Below are 17,618 nucleotides of genomic sequence, written 5' to 3'. Positions count from 1 at the left end.
TTTTGAATGTGCGTGGAAAGAGATTTACCATTCTTTGTCTAACTAAACAAAAAAGTTTCCTTAAGAGGTAGTCAGCCAGGCACAATGGCTCATGCCTGTAATCCAGCACTTTGGGAGGCCGAGGCGGGTGGATCATCTGAGGTCAGGAGTTAGAGATCAGCCTGGCCAACATGGTGAAACCCTGTCTCTACTAAAAATACGAAAAGTTAGCCAGGCGTGGTGGCACGTGCCTGTAATCCCAGCTACTCGGGAGGCTGAGGCAGGAGAATTGCTTGAACCCAGGAGGTGGAAGTTGCGGTGAGCTGAGACTGTGCTACTGCCCTCTATCCTGGGTGACAGAGTGAGACTCTGTCAAAAAAAAAAGAGATAGTTATACAAGTTCTCCTGGAAAGGAACTATGTTTTGCAACCAATCTTAATATTAGTTATTGATATGAGGGTTCTCTGGGTCATTTGAGGTGAGATAGTGCAATATTTAAACAGCTCTGCATAAAAAAATGAATAGGAGGTTTAGGGGTCAATTGTAGAGTCCTAAAAAGGAGAATATAGGAGGTCAACAGACAGCGAGGAGGCTCAGAAAAATGGAAGGAATTTGGAGGCCAAGCGGAATATATAATCAGTGAAAATAACCTTTTGGCAAGAATAGATAAAGGAATTTAGTAAACTTTTTATTGAAGTGCAATACATGGTACCACCATGGTATTGGGAACATGTTTGGACTGGCAAGCAAACTGATGAGATACAATAGCATTTAGCCTAGCACTAAATTTGCTTAGCTTTATAGTAGGATACAGGACAGGAAATTAAGCATGCATGATGCTTGGGTCCCTCCTCACCTGCCTAAAGAGCGTGCATGAGCTTGTGGTATTTGGATGAGGTTGTGGTATGTGGGGGTTTGCCTTGATGCAAAGAAGCTTCTATGTGGGTTTCCCACCAGTCATATAGGCCTACGGTTCACAGGTCTCCCAGCCCCATGTACTGTCCCATAGATTGTAGGTTTCACAGTGCACAAAATGGATGTCTGTCCCTGGTACCCAATATTCCAAATTTATCTTAATTTGGGTCATTTACAAGAAACTCGTGCTGGGATAAGACAAACCTAAAATTTCCCAAGCAGGCATAGTTCTGGGAGAAAAATGGTACAGACCTGCTATTAACTCTTTGCTCACACATACATAAAGAAAAGTACACAAATCATGAGTATGTAACATCATTGATATTGGCAAAGTGAATACATCTCTGTAACCAGACTCAGATCAAGAAATGATACATTCTGGCCAGGTGTGGTGGCTCATGCCTGTAATCTCAGCACTTTGGCAGGCCAAGGTGGGTGGATCACTTGAGGCCAGGAGTTCGAGACCAGTGTGGCCAACATGGTGAAACCCCACCTCTACTAAACACACATACACACCCACAAATTAGCCAGGTGCAGTGGTACATTCGTGTAATCCCAGCTACTTGGGAGGCTGAGGTGCACAAGTGAGAATCGCTTGAGCCTGGGAGGCAGATGTTGCAGTGAGCCAAGATGGTGCCACTATACTCCAGCCTGGGCAACAGAGTGAAACTCTGTCAAAAAAAGAAAAAGAAAAAGAAAAAGAAAAAGAAAAGAAAAGAAAGAAAGAAAACATTCTAGAATTCCAGAAGCCATTCTCATTCCCTATTTAAGTCACTAACCCAAGAGTAATTAATATCCTGAGTTCCAACACCTTGGATTTGTATGGGTTATTTTTAAACCTTCTATAAATGGAATTTTATGATATGTTTGTTTGATCCACCTATGTTGTATGTAGTTGTATTTCATTTATTCCCATTTCTGCATTGTCTTGAATTGTACAACTATTTTACATATTTATCTATTCTAATTTCAATGGATATTTGAGTTGTTTCCAATTTTTAACTATTTTTTAAAATTATACTCTAAGTTCAATAAACATACATGTGCATGTGTCTTTATAGTAGAATGATTTATAATCCTTTGGGTATATACCCAGTATATACCCAAGTAATGGGATTGTTGGGTCAAATGGTATTTCTGATTCTAGATCCTTGAGGAATCACCACACTGTCTTCCACAATGGTTGAACTAATTTACACTCCCACCAACAGTGTAAAAGCATTTCTATTTCTCCACATCATCTCCAGCATCTGTTGTTTCCTGACTTTTTAATGATTGCCATTCTAACTGGTGTGTGATGGTATCTCATTGTGGTTTTGATTTGCATTTCTCTAAAGACCAGTGATGATGAGCTTTCTTTCATATGTTTGTTGGCCAAATAAATATCTTCTTTTGAAAAGTGTCTGTTCATATCCTTGGCCTATTTTTTGATGGGGTTGTTTTTTTCTTATAAATTTATTTACATTTCTTGTAGATTCTGGATATTAGCCGTCACATGGATAGATGGCAAAAATATTCTCCCATTCTGTAGGTTGCCTGTTCACTCTGATGATAGTTTCTTTTGCTGTGCAGAAGCTCTTTAGTTTAATTAGATACCATTTGTCAATTTTGGCTTTTGTTGTCATTGCTTTTGGTGTTTTAGTTATGAAGTCTTTGCTCATGCCTGTGTCCTGAATAATACTGTCTAGATTTTCTTCTAGGATTTTTATGGTTTTAGACCTTACATTTAAATCTTTAATCCATCTTGAGTTAATTTTTGTATAAGGTGTAAGGAAGGGGTCCAGTTTCAGTTTTCTGCATATGGCTAGTCAGTTTTCCCAGCACCATTTATTAAATAGGGAATCCTTTCCCCATTGCTTGTTTTTGTCAGGTTTGTCAAAGGTCAGATGGTTGTAGATGTGTGGTGTTATTTCTGAGGCCTCTATTGTGTTCCATTGGTCTATATATCTGTTTTGGTACCAGTACCATGCTGTTTTGGATACTGTAGCCTTGTAGTATAGTTTGAAGTCAGGTAGTGTGATGCCTCCAGCTTTGTTCTTTTTGCTTTAAATTGTCTTGGCTATATGGGTGCTTTTTTGATTCCATGTGAAATTTAAATTAGTTTTTTCTAATTCTGTGAAGGAAGTAAATGGTGTCTTGATGGGAATAGCATTGAATCTATAAATTACTTTGGGTGGTATGGTCATTTTCACGATATTGATTCTTCCTATCCATGAGTGTGGAATGTTTTTCCATTTGTTTGTGTCCTTTCTTACTTCCTTGAGCAGTGGTTTGTAGTTCTCCTTGAAAGGGTCCTTCACATCCCTTGTAACTTCTATTCCTAGGTATTTTATTCTCTTTATAGCAATTGTGAATGGGAGTTAGCTCACGATTTGGCTCTCTTTTATTGGTGTGTAGGAATGCTTGTGATTTTTGCACATTGATTTCGTATTCTGAGACTTTGCTAAAGTTGCTTATCAGCTTAAGGAGTTTTTGGGCTAGGATGATGGGGTTTTCTAAATATGCAATCATGTCATCTGCAAACAGAGGTAATTTGACTTCCTCTCTTCCTATTCGAATATCCTTTATTTCTTTCTCTTTCCTGATTGCCCTGGCCAGGACTTCCAATACTACTATATTGAATAGGAGTGGTGAGAGAGGGCATCCTTGTCTTGTGCCGGTTTTCAAAGGGAATGCTTCCAGCTTTTACCCATTCAGTATTATACTGGCTGTGGGTTTGTCATAAATAGCTCTTAATATTTTGAGATATATTCCATCAATACTTAGTTTATTGAGTGTTTTTATCATGAAGGGGTGTTGAATTTTGTTGAAGGCCTTTTCTGCATCTATTGAGATAATTATGTGGTTTTCGTCATTGGTTCTGTTTATGTGATGGATTAAGTTTATTGGTTTGTGTGTGTTAAACCAGTCTTGCATCCCAGGGATGAAGCTGACTTGGTCGTGGTGGATAAGCTTTTTAATGTGCTGCTGGATTCAGTTAGCCAGTATTTTATTGAGAATTTTCGCATCGAAGTTCATCAGAGATATTGGCCTGAAATTTTCTTTTTTTTGTTGTGTCTGTGCCAGGTTTTGGTATCAGGATGATGCTGGCCTCATAAAATGAGTTAGTGGGGAGTCCCTCTTTTTCTATTATTTGGAATCGTTTTGGAAGGAATGGTACCAGCTGCTCTTTGTACCTGTGGTAGAATTTGGCTGTGAATCTGTCTGGTCCTGGGCTTTTTTTGGTTGGTAGGCTATTAATTACTGCCTCAATTTCAGAACTTGTTATTAGTCTATTCAGAGATTCTACTTCTTCCTGGTTTAGTCTTGGGAGGGTGTATGTGTCCAGGAATTCATCCATTTCTTCTAGATTTTCTAGTTTATTTGCATAGTGGTGTTTGTAGTATTTATTCTCTGATGGTGGTTTGTATTTCTGTGGCATCAGTGGTGATATCTGCTTTATCATTTTTTTATTGTGTCTGTTTGATTCTTCTCTCTTCTTTATTAGTGGTCCATCTATTTTGTTAATCTTTTCAAAAAAAACAGCTCCTGAGTTCACTGATTTTTTTGAAGGGTTTTTCATGTCTCTATCTCCTTCAGTTCTGCTCTGATCTTAGTTATTTCTTGTTTTCTGCTACCTTTTGAATTTGTTTGCTGTTGCTTCTGTAGTTCTTTTAATTGTGATGTTAGGGTGTCAATTTTAGAACTTTCCCACTTTCTTCTGTGGGCATTTAGTGCTATAAATTTCCCTCTAAACACTGCTTTAGCTGCGTCCCGGAGATTCTGGTATATTGTGTCTTTGTTCTCATTGGTTTCAAAGAACTTATTTATTTCTGCCTTAATTTTGCTATTTACCCAGTAGTCTTTCAGGAGCAGGTTGTTCAGTTTCCATGTAGTTGTGCAGTTTTGAGTGAGTTTCTTAATCCTGAGTTCTAATTTGATTGCACTGTGGTCTGAGAGACAGTTTGTTGTGATTTCTGTTCTTCTGCATTTGCTGAGGAGTGTTTTACTTCCAATTATGTGGTCAATTTTGGAATAGGTGTGATGTGATGCTGAGAAGAGTGTATATTCTGTTGATTTGGGGTGGAGAGTTCTGTAGATGTCTATTAGGTCCACTTGGTCCAGAGCTGAGTTCAAGTTCTGAATATCCTTGTTAATTTTCTGTCTCATTGATCTGTCTAATGTTGGCAGTGGGGTGTTAAAGTCTCCCACTGTTATTGTGTGGGAGTGTAGGTCTCTTTGTAGGTCTCTAAGAACTTGCTTTATGAATCTGGGTGCTCCTGTATTGGGTGCATATATATTTAGGATATATATTATATATATATATGTATGTATGTATGTGTATATATATATGTATAATCACCGAGAAGTTAGCTCTTCTTATTGCATTGATCCCTTTACCATTATGTAATGCCCTTCTTTGTCTTTTTTGATCTTTGTTGGTTTAAAGTCTGTTTTATCAGAGACTAGGATTACAACCCCTGCTTTTTTTGCTTTCCATTTGCTTGGTAAATCTTCCTCCATCCTTCCTCCATCCCTTTATTTTGAGCCTATATGTGTCTTTGCACATGAGATGGGTCTCCTGAATATAGCACACCATGGGTCTTGACTCTTTATCCAGTTTTCCACTCTGTGCCTTTTAATTGGGGCGTTTAGCCTGTTTACATTTAAGGTTAATATTGTTTTTTATGAATTTGATCCTGTCCTTTTGATGCTAGCTGGTTATTTTGCCCATTAGTTGGTGCAGTTTCTTCATAGTGCCCCGTGAGTTCTATTGTTCTTTCCCTTTCAGGATGAGCTGCTGCTGGTCCTCTGCTTCTGTCGGGCATAGAGATCCCCCTCACAGGAGTCCTCCCTGCTGATCATGGGCTCAGTCCCCAGGTCCTAGCCACTGCTCTCTAGAAAGCCATATCCCTTAGTGCTCAGCCTCTCACACATTCCGGGACCACTTTCCCATTCTCGGTGCTGTGGAGCTTGGGCCTTGACTCTTGAAACAAAATTATTTTGACACTTGTTAAAATGATATGGGAGACTTTATTTGAGAGTATTTCAAATAGTAGAGAGAGACTGAACTCAGCTCTGACTACAGCAAAGACAGCTGGGGACAGTAGATATGAAATAGTAGAGGGATTTTTGCTAAACTGGCTTAACAAGATTCTAACTAAAGGCAGGTCAAGGACTAAGATATTAAGATATCAAGGATGAGGAATTTGATCAGATAACAAGGGCTGGGGACTTCTTGCTAAACTGAGTTAGCAGGATTCTTGCTAAAGCCAGGCCAAGGATGGACCTAAGATAAGGCCTAGATAAGAAGAGGGCTCGTAGAAACGTTAACTAAAATTTGATCAAGAGGGGAATCTGTTACCATCCCTCATATTAGCTGCCAGTCTCAGGAAAGCCAGCCTCTCGCCTCCAGATCAGCACATTTCTGTTTCATCTTTAAGCACCACCCTCAACCCACTCTGGATGTCACAAAATGATATCCAGATTGTCTTCACTGGATCTAAGTCTCAAACACTATTTTCATTCTGGGGAACTTAGGTGTTATAAGAAGCACAAACCTTGTGAATCACAATCCTGCCTTTTTTTCCTGGCATGAGAGTGGGGAAGGAGAGGCTTTATTACTTACTTTTTGATGAACTTCCAAACTTTCAAAACCAAATGAAATGTCTTTTTATCAGTGAGTTGCTTTTCTCTTAAAAACATACGCAGTTCCTTTACCCATATTGTACTTGTGCTCTTTCCTGTGTCTGCCTTGAATTGTGTTACCATGGGAACAACTTGTAGACACTAGCAACACTGAGGGTGCAAGTAGGGGCAATATGCTTTTCAGGTTTCCTAACGACAGGGTGTGTGGTATGTGCAAGGTCAGTTTCTCAGCTCTCTTTGGAGAATCTTCTTCATTCAGACTCTAGTTTCTCCAGATCCAAGTGTTCTTGGATCTCAGCACAGTTCACATTTTGGGCTGGATAATTGTTTGTTGTAGGAGGACGTGCTGTGTGTTGGAGGATATTTAGTAGCATCTTTGGCCTTTACCCATTAGATGCCAATACCCCTCCCCCAGGAGAAACAACCAAAAATGTCTCTAGAACATTGCCAAATGTCCCCTGGGGGATGAGAACCACTGATTTCATTACCAAAGGATCTTGCCCTGGGTTTAAGGAGGTCCATGGACTTGGATGGAGAAAAAATTACATCTTTATTTTTATTAATCTCTAAGCTTTAGCATTTCCCATAATTCTAAATGTGAATTCATATTTAGAATTCTAAATGTGAATTTACATTTAGAATTATGGGAAAAAACAAAACTCTAGTACTTTCTATAAGCAGTTTCTGTGACTGTCAAAATATGAAAAACTATTATTTTCATATCATGGGAGATTTTTCAACTTTCTCAATTTACATTCATCACTACTTCAAAGTTGCGATAGTTTTTAGAACTGTCACTAGATCTTGTCATTTAACACAATAAAAAAGACATATTATGAAAACACATTTGTTTTTTAAATATTTTGATAACTTTATGTCAATATAATTGGTTTCCTATTTAGTTCTATGTAATTCTATTTTATGCATTTAAAAACATTATTCCAGGGAGGAGCCAAGATGGCCGAATAGGAACAGCTCCGGTCTACAGCTCCCAGCGTGAGCGACGCAGAAGACGGGTGATTTCTGCATTTCCATCTGAGGTACCGGGTTCATCTCACTAGGGAGTGCCAGACAGTGGGCGCAGGCCAGTGTGTGCGTGCACCGTGCGCGAGCCGAAGCAGGGCAAGGCATTGCCTCACCTGGGAAGCGCAAGGGGTCAGGGAGTTCCCTTTCCGAGTCAAAGAAAGGGGTGACAGACGCACCTGGAAAATCGGGTCACTCCCACCCGAATATTGCGCTTTTCAGACCGGCTTAAAAAACGGCGCACCACGAGACTATATCCCACACCTGGCTCAGAGGGTCCTACGCCCACGGAATCTCACTGATTGCTAGCACAGCAGTCTGAGATCAAACTGCAAGGCGGCAACGAGGCTGGGGGAGGGGCGCCCACCATTGCCCAGGCTTGCTTAGGTAAACAAAGCAGCTGGGAAGCTCGAACTGGGTGGAGCCCACCACAGCTCAAGGAGGCCTGCCTGCCTCTGTAGGCTCCACCTCTGGGGGCAGGGCACAGACAAACAAAAAGACAGCAGTAACCTCTGCAGACTTAAGTGTCCCTGTCTGACAGCTTTGAAGAGAGCAGTGGTTCTCCCAGCACGCAGCTGGAGATCTGAGAACGGGCAGACTGCCTCCTCAAGTGGGTCCCTGACCCCTGACCCCCGAGCAGCCTAACTGGGAGGCACCCCCCAGCAGGGGCACACTGACACCTCACACGGCAGGGTATTCCAACAGACCTGCAGCTGAGGGTCCTGTCTGTTAGAAGGAAAACTAACAACCAGAAAGGACATCTACACCGAAAACCCATCTGTACATCACCATCATCAAAGACCAAAAGTAGATAAAACCACAAAGATGGGGAAAAAACAGAACAGAAAAACTGGAAACTCTAAAACGCAGAGCACCTCTCCTCCTCCAAAGGAACGCAGTTCCTCACCAGCAATGGAACAAAGCTGGATGGAGAATGATTTTGACGAGCTGAGAGAAGAAGGCTTCAGACGATCAAATTACTCTGAGCTATGGAAGGACATTCAAACCAAAGGCAAAGAAGTTGAAAACTTTGAAAAAATTTAGAAGAATGTATAACTAGAATAACCAATACAGAGAAGTGCTTAAAGGAGCTGATGGAGCTGAAAACCCAAGGCTCGAGAACCACGTGAAGAATGCAGAAGCCTCAGGAGCCGATGCGATCAACTGGAAGAAAGGGTATCAGCAATGGAAGATGAAATGAATGAAATGAAGCGAGAAGGGAAGTTTAGAGAAAAAAGAATAAAAAGAAATGAGCAAAGCCTCCAAGAAATATGGGACTATGTGAAAAGACCAAATCTACGTCTGATTGGTGTACCTGAAAGTGATGTGGAGAAGGGAACCAAGTTGGAAAACACTCTGCAGGATATTATCCAGGAGAACTTCCCCAATCTAGCAAGGCAGGCCAACGTTCAGATTCAGGAAATACAGAGAACGCCACAAAGATACTCCTCGAGAAGAGCAACTCCAAGACACATAATTGTCAGATTCAACAAAGTTGAAATGAAGGAAAAAATGTTAAGGGCAGCCAGAGAGAAAGATCGGGTTACCCTCAAAGGAAAGCCCATCAGACTAACAGCGGATCTCTCGGCAGAAACCCTACAAGCCAGAAGAGAGTGGGGGCCAATATTCAACATTCTTAAAGAAAAGAATTTTCAACCCAGAATTTCATATCCAGCCAAACTAAGCTTCATAAGTGAAGGAGAAATAAAATACTTTATAGACAAGCAAATGCTGAGAGATTTTGTCACCACCAGGCCTGCCCTAAAAGAGCTCCTGAAGGAAGCGCTAAACATGGAAAGGAACAACCGGTACCAGCCGCTGCAAAATCATGCCAAAATGTAAAGACCATCGAGACTAGGAAGAAACTGCATCAACTAACAAGCAAAATCACCAGCTAACATCATAATGACAGGATCAAATTCACACATAACAATATTAACTTTAAATATAAATGGACTAAATTCTGCAATTAAAAGACACAGACTGGCAAGTTGGATAAAGAGTCAAGACCCATCAGTGTGCTGTATTCAGGAAACCCATCTCACGTGCAGAGACACACATAGGCTCAAAATAAAAGGATGGAGGAAGATTTACCAAGCCAATGGAAAACAAAAAAAGGCAGGGGTTGCAATCCTAGTCTCTGATAAAACAGACTTTAAACCAACAAAGATCAAAAGAGACAAAGAAGGCCATTACATAATGGTAAAGGGATCAATTCAACAAGAGGAGCTAACTATCCTAAATATTTATGCACCCAATACAGGAGCACCCAGATTCATAAAGCAAGTCCTGAGTGACCTACAAAGAGACTTAGACTCCCACACATTAATAATGGGAGACTTTAACACCCCACTGTCAACATTAGACAGATCAACGAGACAGAAAGTTAACAAGGATACCCAGGAATTGAACTCAGCTCTGCACCAAGCGGACCTAATAGACATCTACAGAACTCTCCACCCCAAATCAACAGAATATACATTTTTTTCAGCACCACACCACACCTATTCCAAAATTGACCACATAGTTGGAAGTAAAGCTCTCCTCAGCAAATGTAAAAGAACAGAAATTATAACAAACTATCTCTCAGACCACAGTGCAATCAAACTAGAACTCAGGATTAAGAATCTCACTCAAAGCCGCTCAACTACATGGAAACTGAACAACCTGCTCCTGAATGACTACTGGGTACATAACGAAATGAAGGCAGAAATAAAGATGTTCTTTGAAACCAACGAGAGCAAAGACACCACATACCAGAATCTCTGGGACGCATTCAAAGCAGTGTGTAGAGGGAAATTTATAGCTCTAAATGCCTACAAGAGAAAGCAGGAAAGATCCAAAATTGACACCCTAACATCACAATTAAAAGAACTAGAAAAGCAAGAGCAAACACATTCAAAAGCTAGCAGAAGGCAAGAAATAACTAAAATCAGAACAGAACTGAAGGAAATAGAGACACAAAAAACCCTTCAAAAAATCAATGAATCCAGGAGCTGGTTTTTTGAAAGGATCAACAAAATTGATAGACCGCTAGCAAGACTAATAAAGAAAAAAAGAGAGAAGAATCAAATAGACACAATAAAAAATGATAAAGGGGATATCACCACCGATCCCACAGAAATACAAACTACCATCAGAGAATACTACAAACACCTCTATGCAAATAAACTAGAAAATCTAGAAGAAATGGATACATTCCTCGACACATACACTCTCCCAAGACTAAACCAGGAAGAAGTTGAATCTCTGAATAGACCAATAACAGGATCTGAAATTGTGGCAATAATCAATAGTTTACCAACCAAAAAGAGTCCAGGACCAGATGGATTCACAGCCGAATTCTACCAGAGGTGCAAGGAGGAACTGGTACCATTCCTTCTGAAACTATTCCAATCAGTAGAAAAAGAGGGAATCCTCCCTAACTGATTTTATGAGGCCAGCATCATTCTGATACCAAAGCCGGGCAGAGACACAACCAAAAAAGAGAATTTTAGACCAATATCCTTGATGAACATTGATGCAAAAATCCTCAATAAAATACTGGCAAACCAAATCCAGCAGCACATCAAAAAGCTTATCCACCATGATCAAGTGGGCTTCATCCCTGGGATGCAAGGCTGGTTCAATATACGCAAATCAATAAATGTAATCCAGCATATAAACAGAGCCAAAGACAAAAACCACATGATTATCTCAATAGATGCAGAAAAAGCCTTTGACAAAATTCAACAACCCTTCATGCTAAAAACTCTCAATAAATTAGGTATTGATGGGACGTATTTCAAAATAATAAGAGCTATCTATGACAAACCCACAGCCAATATCATACTGAATGGGCAAAAACTGGAAGCATTCCCTTTGAAAACTGGCACAAGACAGGGATGCCCTCTCTCACCGCTCCTATTCAACATAGTGTTGGAAGTTCTGGCCAGGGCAATCAGGCAGGAGAAGGAAATAAAGGGTATTCAATTAGGAAAAGAGGAAGTCAAATTGTCCCTGTTTGCAGACGACATGATTGTTTATCTAGAAAACCCCATCGTCTCAGCCCAAAATCTCCTTAAGCTGATAAGCAACTTCAGCAAAGTCTCAGGATACAAAATCAATGTACAAAAATCACAAGCATTCTTATACACCAACAACAGACAAACAGAGAGCCAAATCATGAGTGAACTCCCATTCACAATTGCTTCAAAGAGAATAAAATACCTAGGAATCCAACTTACAAGGGATGTGAAGGACCTCTTCAAGGAGAACTACAAACCACTGCTCAAGGAAATAAAAGAGGACACAAACAAATGGAAGAACATTCCATGCTCATGGGTAGGAAGAATCAATATCGTGAAAATGGCCATACTGCCCAAGGTAATTTACAGATTCAATGCCATCCCCATCAAGCTACCAATGACTTTCTTCACAGAATTGGAAAAAACTACTTTAAAGTTCATATGGAACCAAAAAAGAGCCCGCATCGCCAAGTCAATCCTAAGCCAAAAGAACAAAGCTGGAGGCATCACACTACCTGACTTCAAACTATACTACAAGGCTACAGTAACCAAAACAGCATGGTACTGGTACCAAAACAGAGATATAGATCAATGGAACAGAACAGAGCCCTCAGAAATAATGCCACATATCTACAACTATCTGATCTTTGACAAACCTGAGAAAAACAAGCAATGGGGAAAGGATTCCCTATTTAATAAATGGTGCTGGGAAAACTGGCTAGCCATATGTAGAAAGCTGAAACTGGATCCCTTCCTTACACCTTATACAAAAATCAATTCAAGATGGATTAAAGATTTAAACGTTAGACCTAAAACCATAAAAACCCTAGAAGAAAACCTAGGCATTACCATTCAGGACATAGGCGTGGGCAAGGACTTCATGTCCAAAACACCAAAAGCAATGGCAACAAAAGCCAAAATTGACAAATGGGATCTAATTAAACTAAAGAGCTTCTGCACAGCAAAAGAAACTACCATCAGAGTGAACGGGCAACCTACAACATGGGAGAAAATTTTCTCAACCTACTCATCTGACAAAGGGCTAATATCCAGAATCTACAATGAACTCAAACAAATTTACAAGAAAAAAACAAACAACCCCATCAAAAAGTGGGCAAAGGACATGAACAGACACTTCTCAAAAGAAGACATTTATGCAGCCAACAGACACATGAAGAAATGCTCATCATCACTGGCCATCAGAGAAATGCAAATCAAAACCACTATGAGATATCATCTCACACCAGTTAGAATGGCAATCATTAAAAAGTCAGGAAACAACAGGTGCTGGAGAGGATGTGGAGAAATAGGAACACTTTTACACTGTTGGTGGGACTGTAAACTAGTTCAACCATTGTGGAAGTCAGTGTGGCGATTCCTCAGGGATCTAGAACTAGAAATACCATTTGACCCAGCCATCCCATTACTGGGTATATACCCAAATGACTATAAATCATGCTGCTATAAAGACACATGCACACGTATGTTTATTGCGGCATTATTCACAATAGCAAAGACTTGGAACCAACCCAAATGTCCAACAATGATAGACTGGATTAAGAAAATGTGGCACATATACACCATGGAATACTATGCAGCCATAAAAAATGATGAGTTCATGTCCTTTGTAGGGACATGGATGAGATTGGAAACCATCATTCTCAGTAAACTATCGCAAGAACAAAAAACCAAACACCGCATATTCTCACTCATAGGTGGGAATTGAACAATGAGATCACATGGACACAGGAAGGGGAATATCACACTCTGGGGATTGTGGTGGGGTCGGGGGAGGGGGGAGAGATAGCATTGGGAGATATACCTAATGCTAGATGACACGTTAGTGGGTACAGCGCACCAGCATGGCACATGTATACATATGTAACTAACCTGCACAATGTACACATGTACCCTAAAACTTAAAGTATAATAATAAAAAAAAAACATTATTCCAGCTAGGCATGGTGGTACACGTCTGTAGTCCCAGCTATTCAGGAGGCTGAGATAGGAGGATCACTTGTGCCCAGAAGGTCAAGGCTGCAGTGAACTGTTTGTGCCATAGCACTCCAGCTGGGGCAACAGAGCAATAACCTGTCTCAAAAAAAGGAAAAAAAACAGAAAAATTATTCCAAGAAGGAGTATAAAGCCTTCCCTAGACTTCTAAAGAGATCTGTAGCATAAAAAAAGATTCAAAACTCTTCTGTATCCAGTAGGATTTCTGAATCTGGAGGGATATATGCTGGGCCACACACAACCAATCAGCCACTTACTGTTGGCTACAAAGCGACCCATGAGGATTTAATTTTGGCCAGTCCAGCAAGCTGATTCCCTGATGTGCATATCCAGCCAAGCCTTTTTCACCCCACATATTGTCGGGACTGGTGCTTGGTTCTGGTTTGCATGTCCCCTTTACTACTGGCCTTGAACCCTCTATGGTGGGATCCAAGACGTGATGAGTGAAGAGCCTCAACTGCCCCCATGTTTGGCAGCAGAGAGAGAGAAGCTGTCTCCAACCACCCCCTCCAATTGGCCTGGGGTTCATCTTCAGATGGGCACTTGAGCCTCTCTTTTCCTCTGGAGCCACACCCCAGCTAGTTGAAGGGAGACAAAGTGGGTGAATCATACCTCTCTGGAGGCAGGGTAGCTCCATGCCACTTTCAAAACAAGACAAAACAAAATCCAATTTGAACTGGCATTTTTGGTTATTACTACCAGGCAGGGTGTGCTACTGGCATCTAGTGAGTAGAGACCAGTGATGTTGCTAAACATCCTACAAAGAGCACATACCCCCACAACAAAGAATTATCCAGCTCAAAATGTTAACAGTTCTAAGGCTAAAAGGGGTATCATTAGACCCTGTGACTGTGAAGTCCAGGGGTACAGACATTCACCCTGTTATCATCCTTCCAGCTCCATTTCTCATGTCTCAGGCTGCCTCCTCTTCCACCCCTCCCAGATGAAAAGTGGATGTTGTGGTCACATACCTTAACTTGACATACTATACTATCCAGAGGGAGAGAACGTCTCTATCCCAGCATTTCCACCAGAGTCCTGAGGTTCTCTCTGACTGGATCAGATCCACACGCCCTCCAGGAACAAATCTCTGTAGCTAGGGATATGGAATGCTTTGACTGGTTTGGACTTGGGCACATGTTTCCTCAAGAGCCACAGCTGAAATCCATTTACCTTGAAAATAGAAAATGAGAGCCATTCAGAGGGTCTGGAAAGGGGAGTGATAAATGCTGGAATGATAATCAACAAATACCAAATGCTCGTCTTTTCCCAATTCCCCTCTTGCTTTCTGGCCATTTTCCATGCAGTCCATCATCTTATCTTATCTTTTCTTTTCTTCTTTATTTTTTTTTCTTTTCTTTTCTTTTTCTTTCTTTCTTTCTTTTTTTTTTTTCAGACAAGGTCTCACTCTGTTGCCCAGGCTGGAGTGCAGTGGTGTGATCTTGGCAACCTCTGCCTCCTGGGTTCAAGTGATTCTCCTACCTCAGCCTCCAGAGTAGCTGGGATTATAGGCGTGTGCCACCACACCCAGCTAACTTTTGTATTTTTTGGTAGAGACGGGGGTTTCACTGTGTTGGCCAGGCTGGTCTCGAACTCCTGGCCTCAAGTGATCTGCCTGCCTTGGCCTCCCAATGTGTGGGAATTGCAGGTGTGACCCACTGCACCTGGCCCCACCATCTTCTCTAGTAACAAACTGGAATGCTTCAGCTATGACCTTTGTTTTTCTAATGCAAATTAGCTCAAACATGATGAGTAAGTTGGGAGAATGTTGTCAATATTTAGTGCCGGTTGGCCAGGTTCTGTTTTCTCTAGTACTTTAACATTTTGAAGTGATCTGGGGGCAAATTTTCTCAAAATTAGACAGCCTTAACAATATATGAAAATCTTAAGAAAAAGCTGACAATCCTATGCAGGTACCTTCCTTGAGTGCAAGCAGTGGTGGATTTGGTGGCTTCCACCTCATGGAGCTGTCTGGGAAAGCTGAAGATGAAGTTGAAGAATCTGCTTGGATTGGAGCAATGTGCTCGGCTTCCTCTCTGTACCTGGATCTACAACCTCACTGAGCTCACCTCCTGCTACTCTCCCATTCATCCATGCGGCCCCTGGCCTTCCTGCTGCCCGCTGCACATGCCAGCCAGTCCCTTTCATCTCAGGGCCTTTGCACCTGCTGCTGTTCCCTTTGCTGGCAATGTTTCTGGATACATGTCTCACTTCCCCATCTCCTCCAGGTCGTTGCTCAACTGTCGCCCTCTCCTTGAAGCTTTCTCTGACCACCTCCGATTAAAATCGCAACCCCACGTGGGCATTCCCTGTCTCCCTTCTCTGTATCATTGTTCTCTATAGCTCTTAACATTATATAACAAATCATACACATTTTTTTTTTACCTATTTCTTTGGTCTACTGTCTGTCTTTTATCCCCACTCTCTTTCAACTGTAACATTTGTGAGGGCAGGTATTTTTGTCTGTTGCATTCACTGTTGCATCTCTAGGTCCTAGGACAGGGCCTGGCATAGAGCTGAGCTAAGTAAGTATTAATGGCATGACCCAGTTAAATAAAAGTAGTGGGATCACCCAGAAGCTTCATTTTCCAGAGATGTGAGATCCAATCTGGTAGGCAGCCTCCTCTCGGGATTCTGGGCCAACCCATTGCATTTCTATAGAGCAATGGGCTGTTTTTTCATCTAGTTCCACGTGACAACCTCAGCTGGTCATTGTCCTTCTTCTTTTTGGTATAGATCTTACTTTTTTCAGAACAATTTGGGTTTACACACAACTTTCTGTATCTCCCTTTCTCTGTTTAAATAGACAAAGAAAAATACACTATGTTAGGGACTAATATCAGATTGATAGAAAAAAAAGACACCTGAATACATCTATGGAGAAATACAAATCCATATTTTATAAACAGATAAATACTTTGGGCTGGGCGCGGTGGCTCATACCTGCAATCCTAGCACTTTGGGAGGCCAAGGCGGGTGGATCACCTGAGGTCAGGAGTTCAAGACCAGCCTGGCCAACGTGGTGAAACCCCATCACTACTAAAAATACAAAAATTAACCAGGCGTGGTGGCAGGCGCCTGCAATCCCAGCTACTCAGGAGGCTGAGGCAGGAGAATCACTTGAACCTGAGGGGCGGGGGCTGCAGTGAGCCTAGATCATGCCACTTCACTCCAGCCTGGGTGAAAGAGCGAGACTCCATCTCAAATAATAATAATAAGAAGAAGAAGAAGAAGAAGAAGAATACTTCATAGAAGAAGCAGATTATCCTTACGTCTACAGCAGGAATGGAAGTTTCCTCACACTACTGTTAGATGTACAGACAAGCTGTAGCTCTTTTATTTTGCCTGTAACTTCTGTAGATTTCCTCATGTGTCCCTACTGGCTGGGTAGGGCTGGCGAAACTTGATTGATTTTAACCCTATAACTTTAGCTTAGTGCAATGATGAAAATATTCTCATTCAGTAAAATGGATAGGCTCTCAGGTCTTGCTTCTCCTTTTCTGTTTCTGCCCAACACAGCATCTGAGTAGAGCAGGGAAAGGGGGAACTTTATCTAGGAGTGACATTCAACATAATTAACTGATTTGACACAGACACAGACCCACTGGAGTGGATGCTAACAGCTAGCAATTAGTAGCCCTTCCAATGCAGACTGTGACTCTCAGCCCTGGCAAGGTGACCTCACAGCGGTGAAGTGAAGGGGAAGGGCTGTTTGTATTGGAGCAGTGTCTCTTGGCACCTCTGATCTCCACAACATTTCTTATCATCCTAGTTGCTGCTTATCCAGCTAGCTTTTGCAGGTGGAGCTGGTGACTGGTGTGGACTGGTCTTTCCTGACTTGGCTAGGGCACAGGAGTTCTCCCTGGCTGATTTGACCTCACCCCAGCTCTTGCTGGCACTGCAGGCTTATGGTGTAAGTTTAGACTCTGCCACAGTCTTCATTGGCCCCTCAGCCTGGGCTGCAGGTCACCTTGCTCTTGAAGGGTGAGTGCCATGTCATTTCTTTGGGAAATGATTCAACTCAGCTGCTTCCAGAGGACCATCTTGAGCACA

The 17,618-nt window shown here is 41.5% G+C and overlaps 1 annotated feature.

Moving 5' to 3' along the window:
• Nucleotides 981-1,030: an enhancer, noted in NCBI's record as "active region_21536". NCBI's record gives its function as "activates an Ori minimal core promoter by ATAC-STARR-seq in GM12878 lymphoblastoid cells {active_cell/tissue: GM12878}" and the evidence as "EXISTENCE:reporter gene assay evidence [ECO:0000049][PMID:35858748]".

Source organism: Homo sapiens, chromosome 4 (genome assembly GCF_000001405.40).
Source record: "Homo sapiens chromosome 4, GRCh38.p14 Primary Assembly".
Classification (NCBI taxonomy): Eukaryota; Metazoa; Chordata; class Mammalia; order Primates; family Hominidae; genus Homo; species Homo sapiens.
Note: the sequence above shows the minus strand (reverse complement) of the source record. Positions and strands in the feature narration are given on the sequence as shown.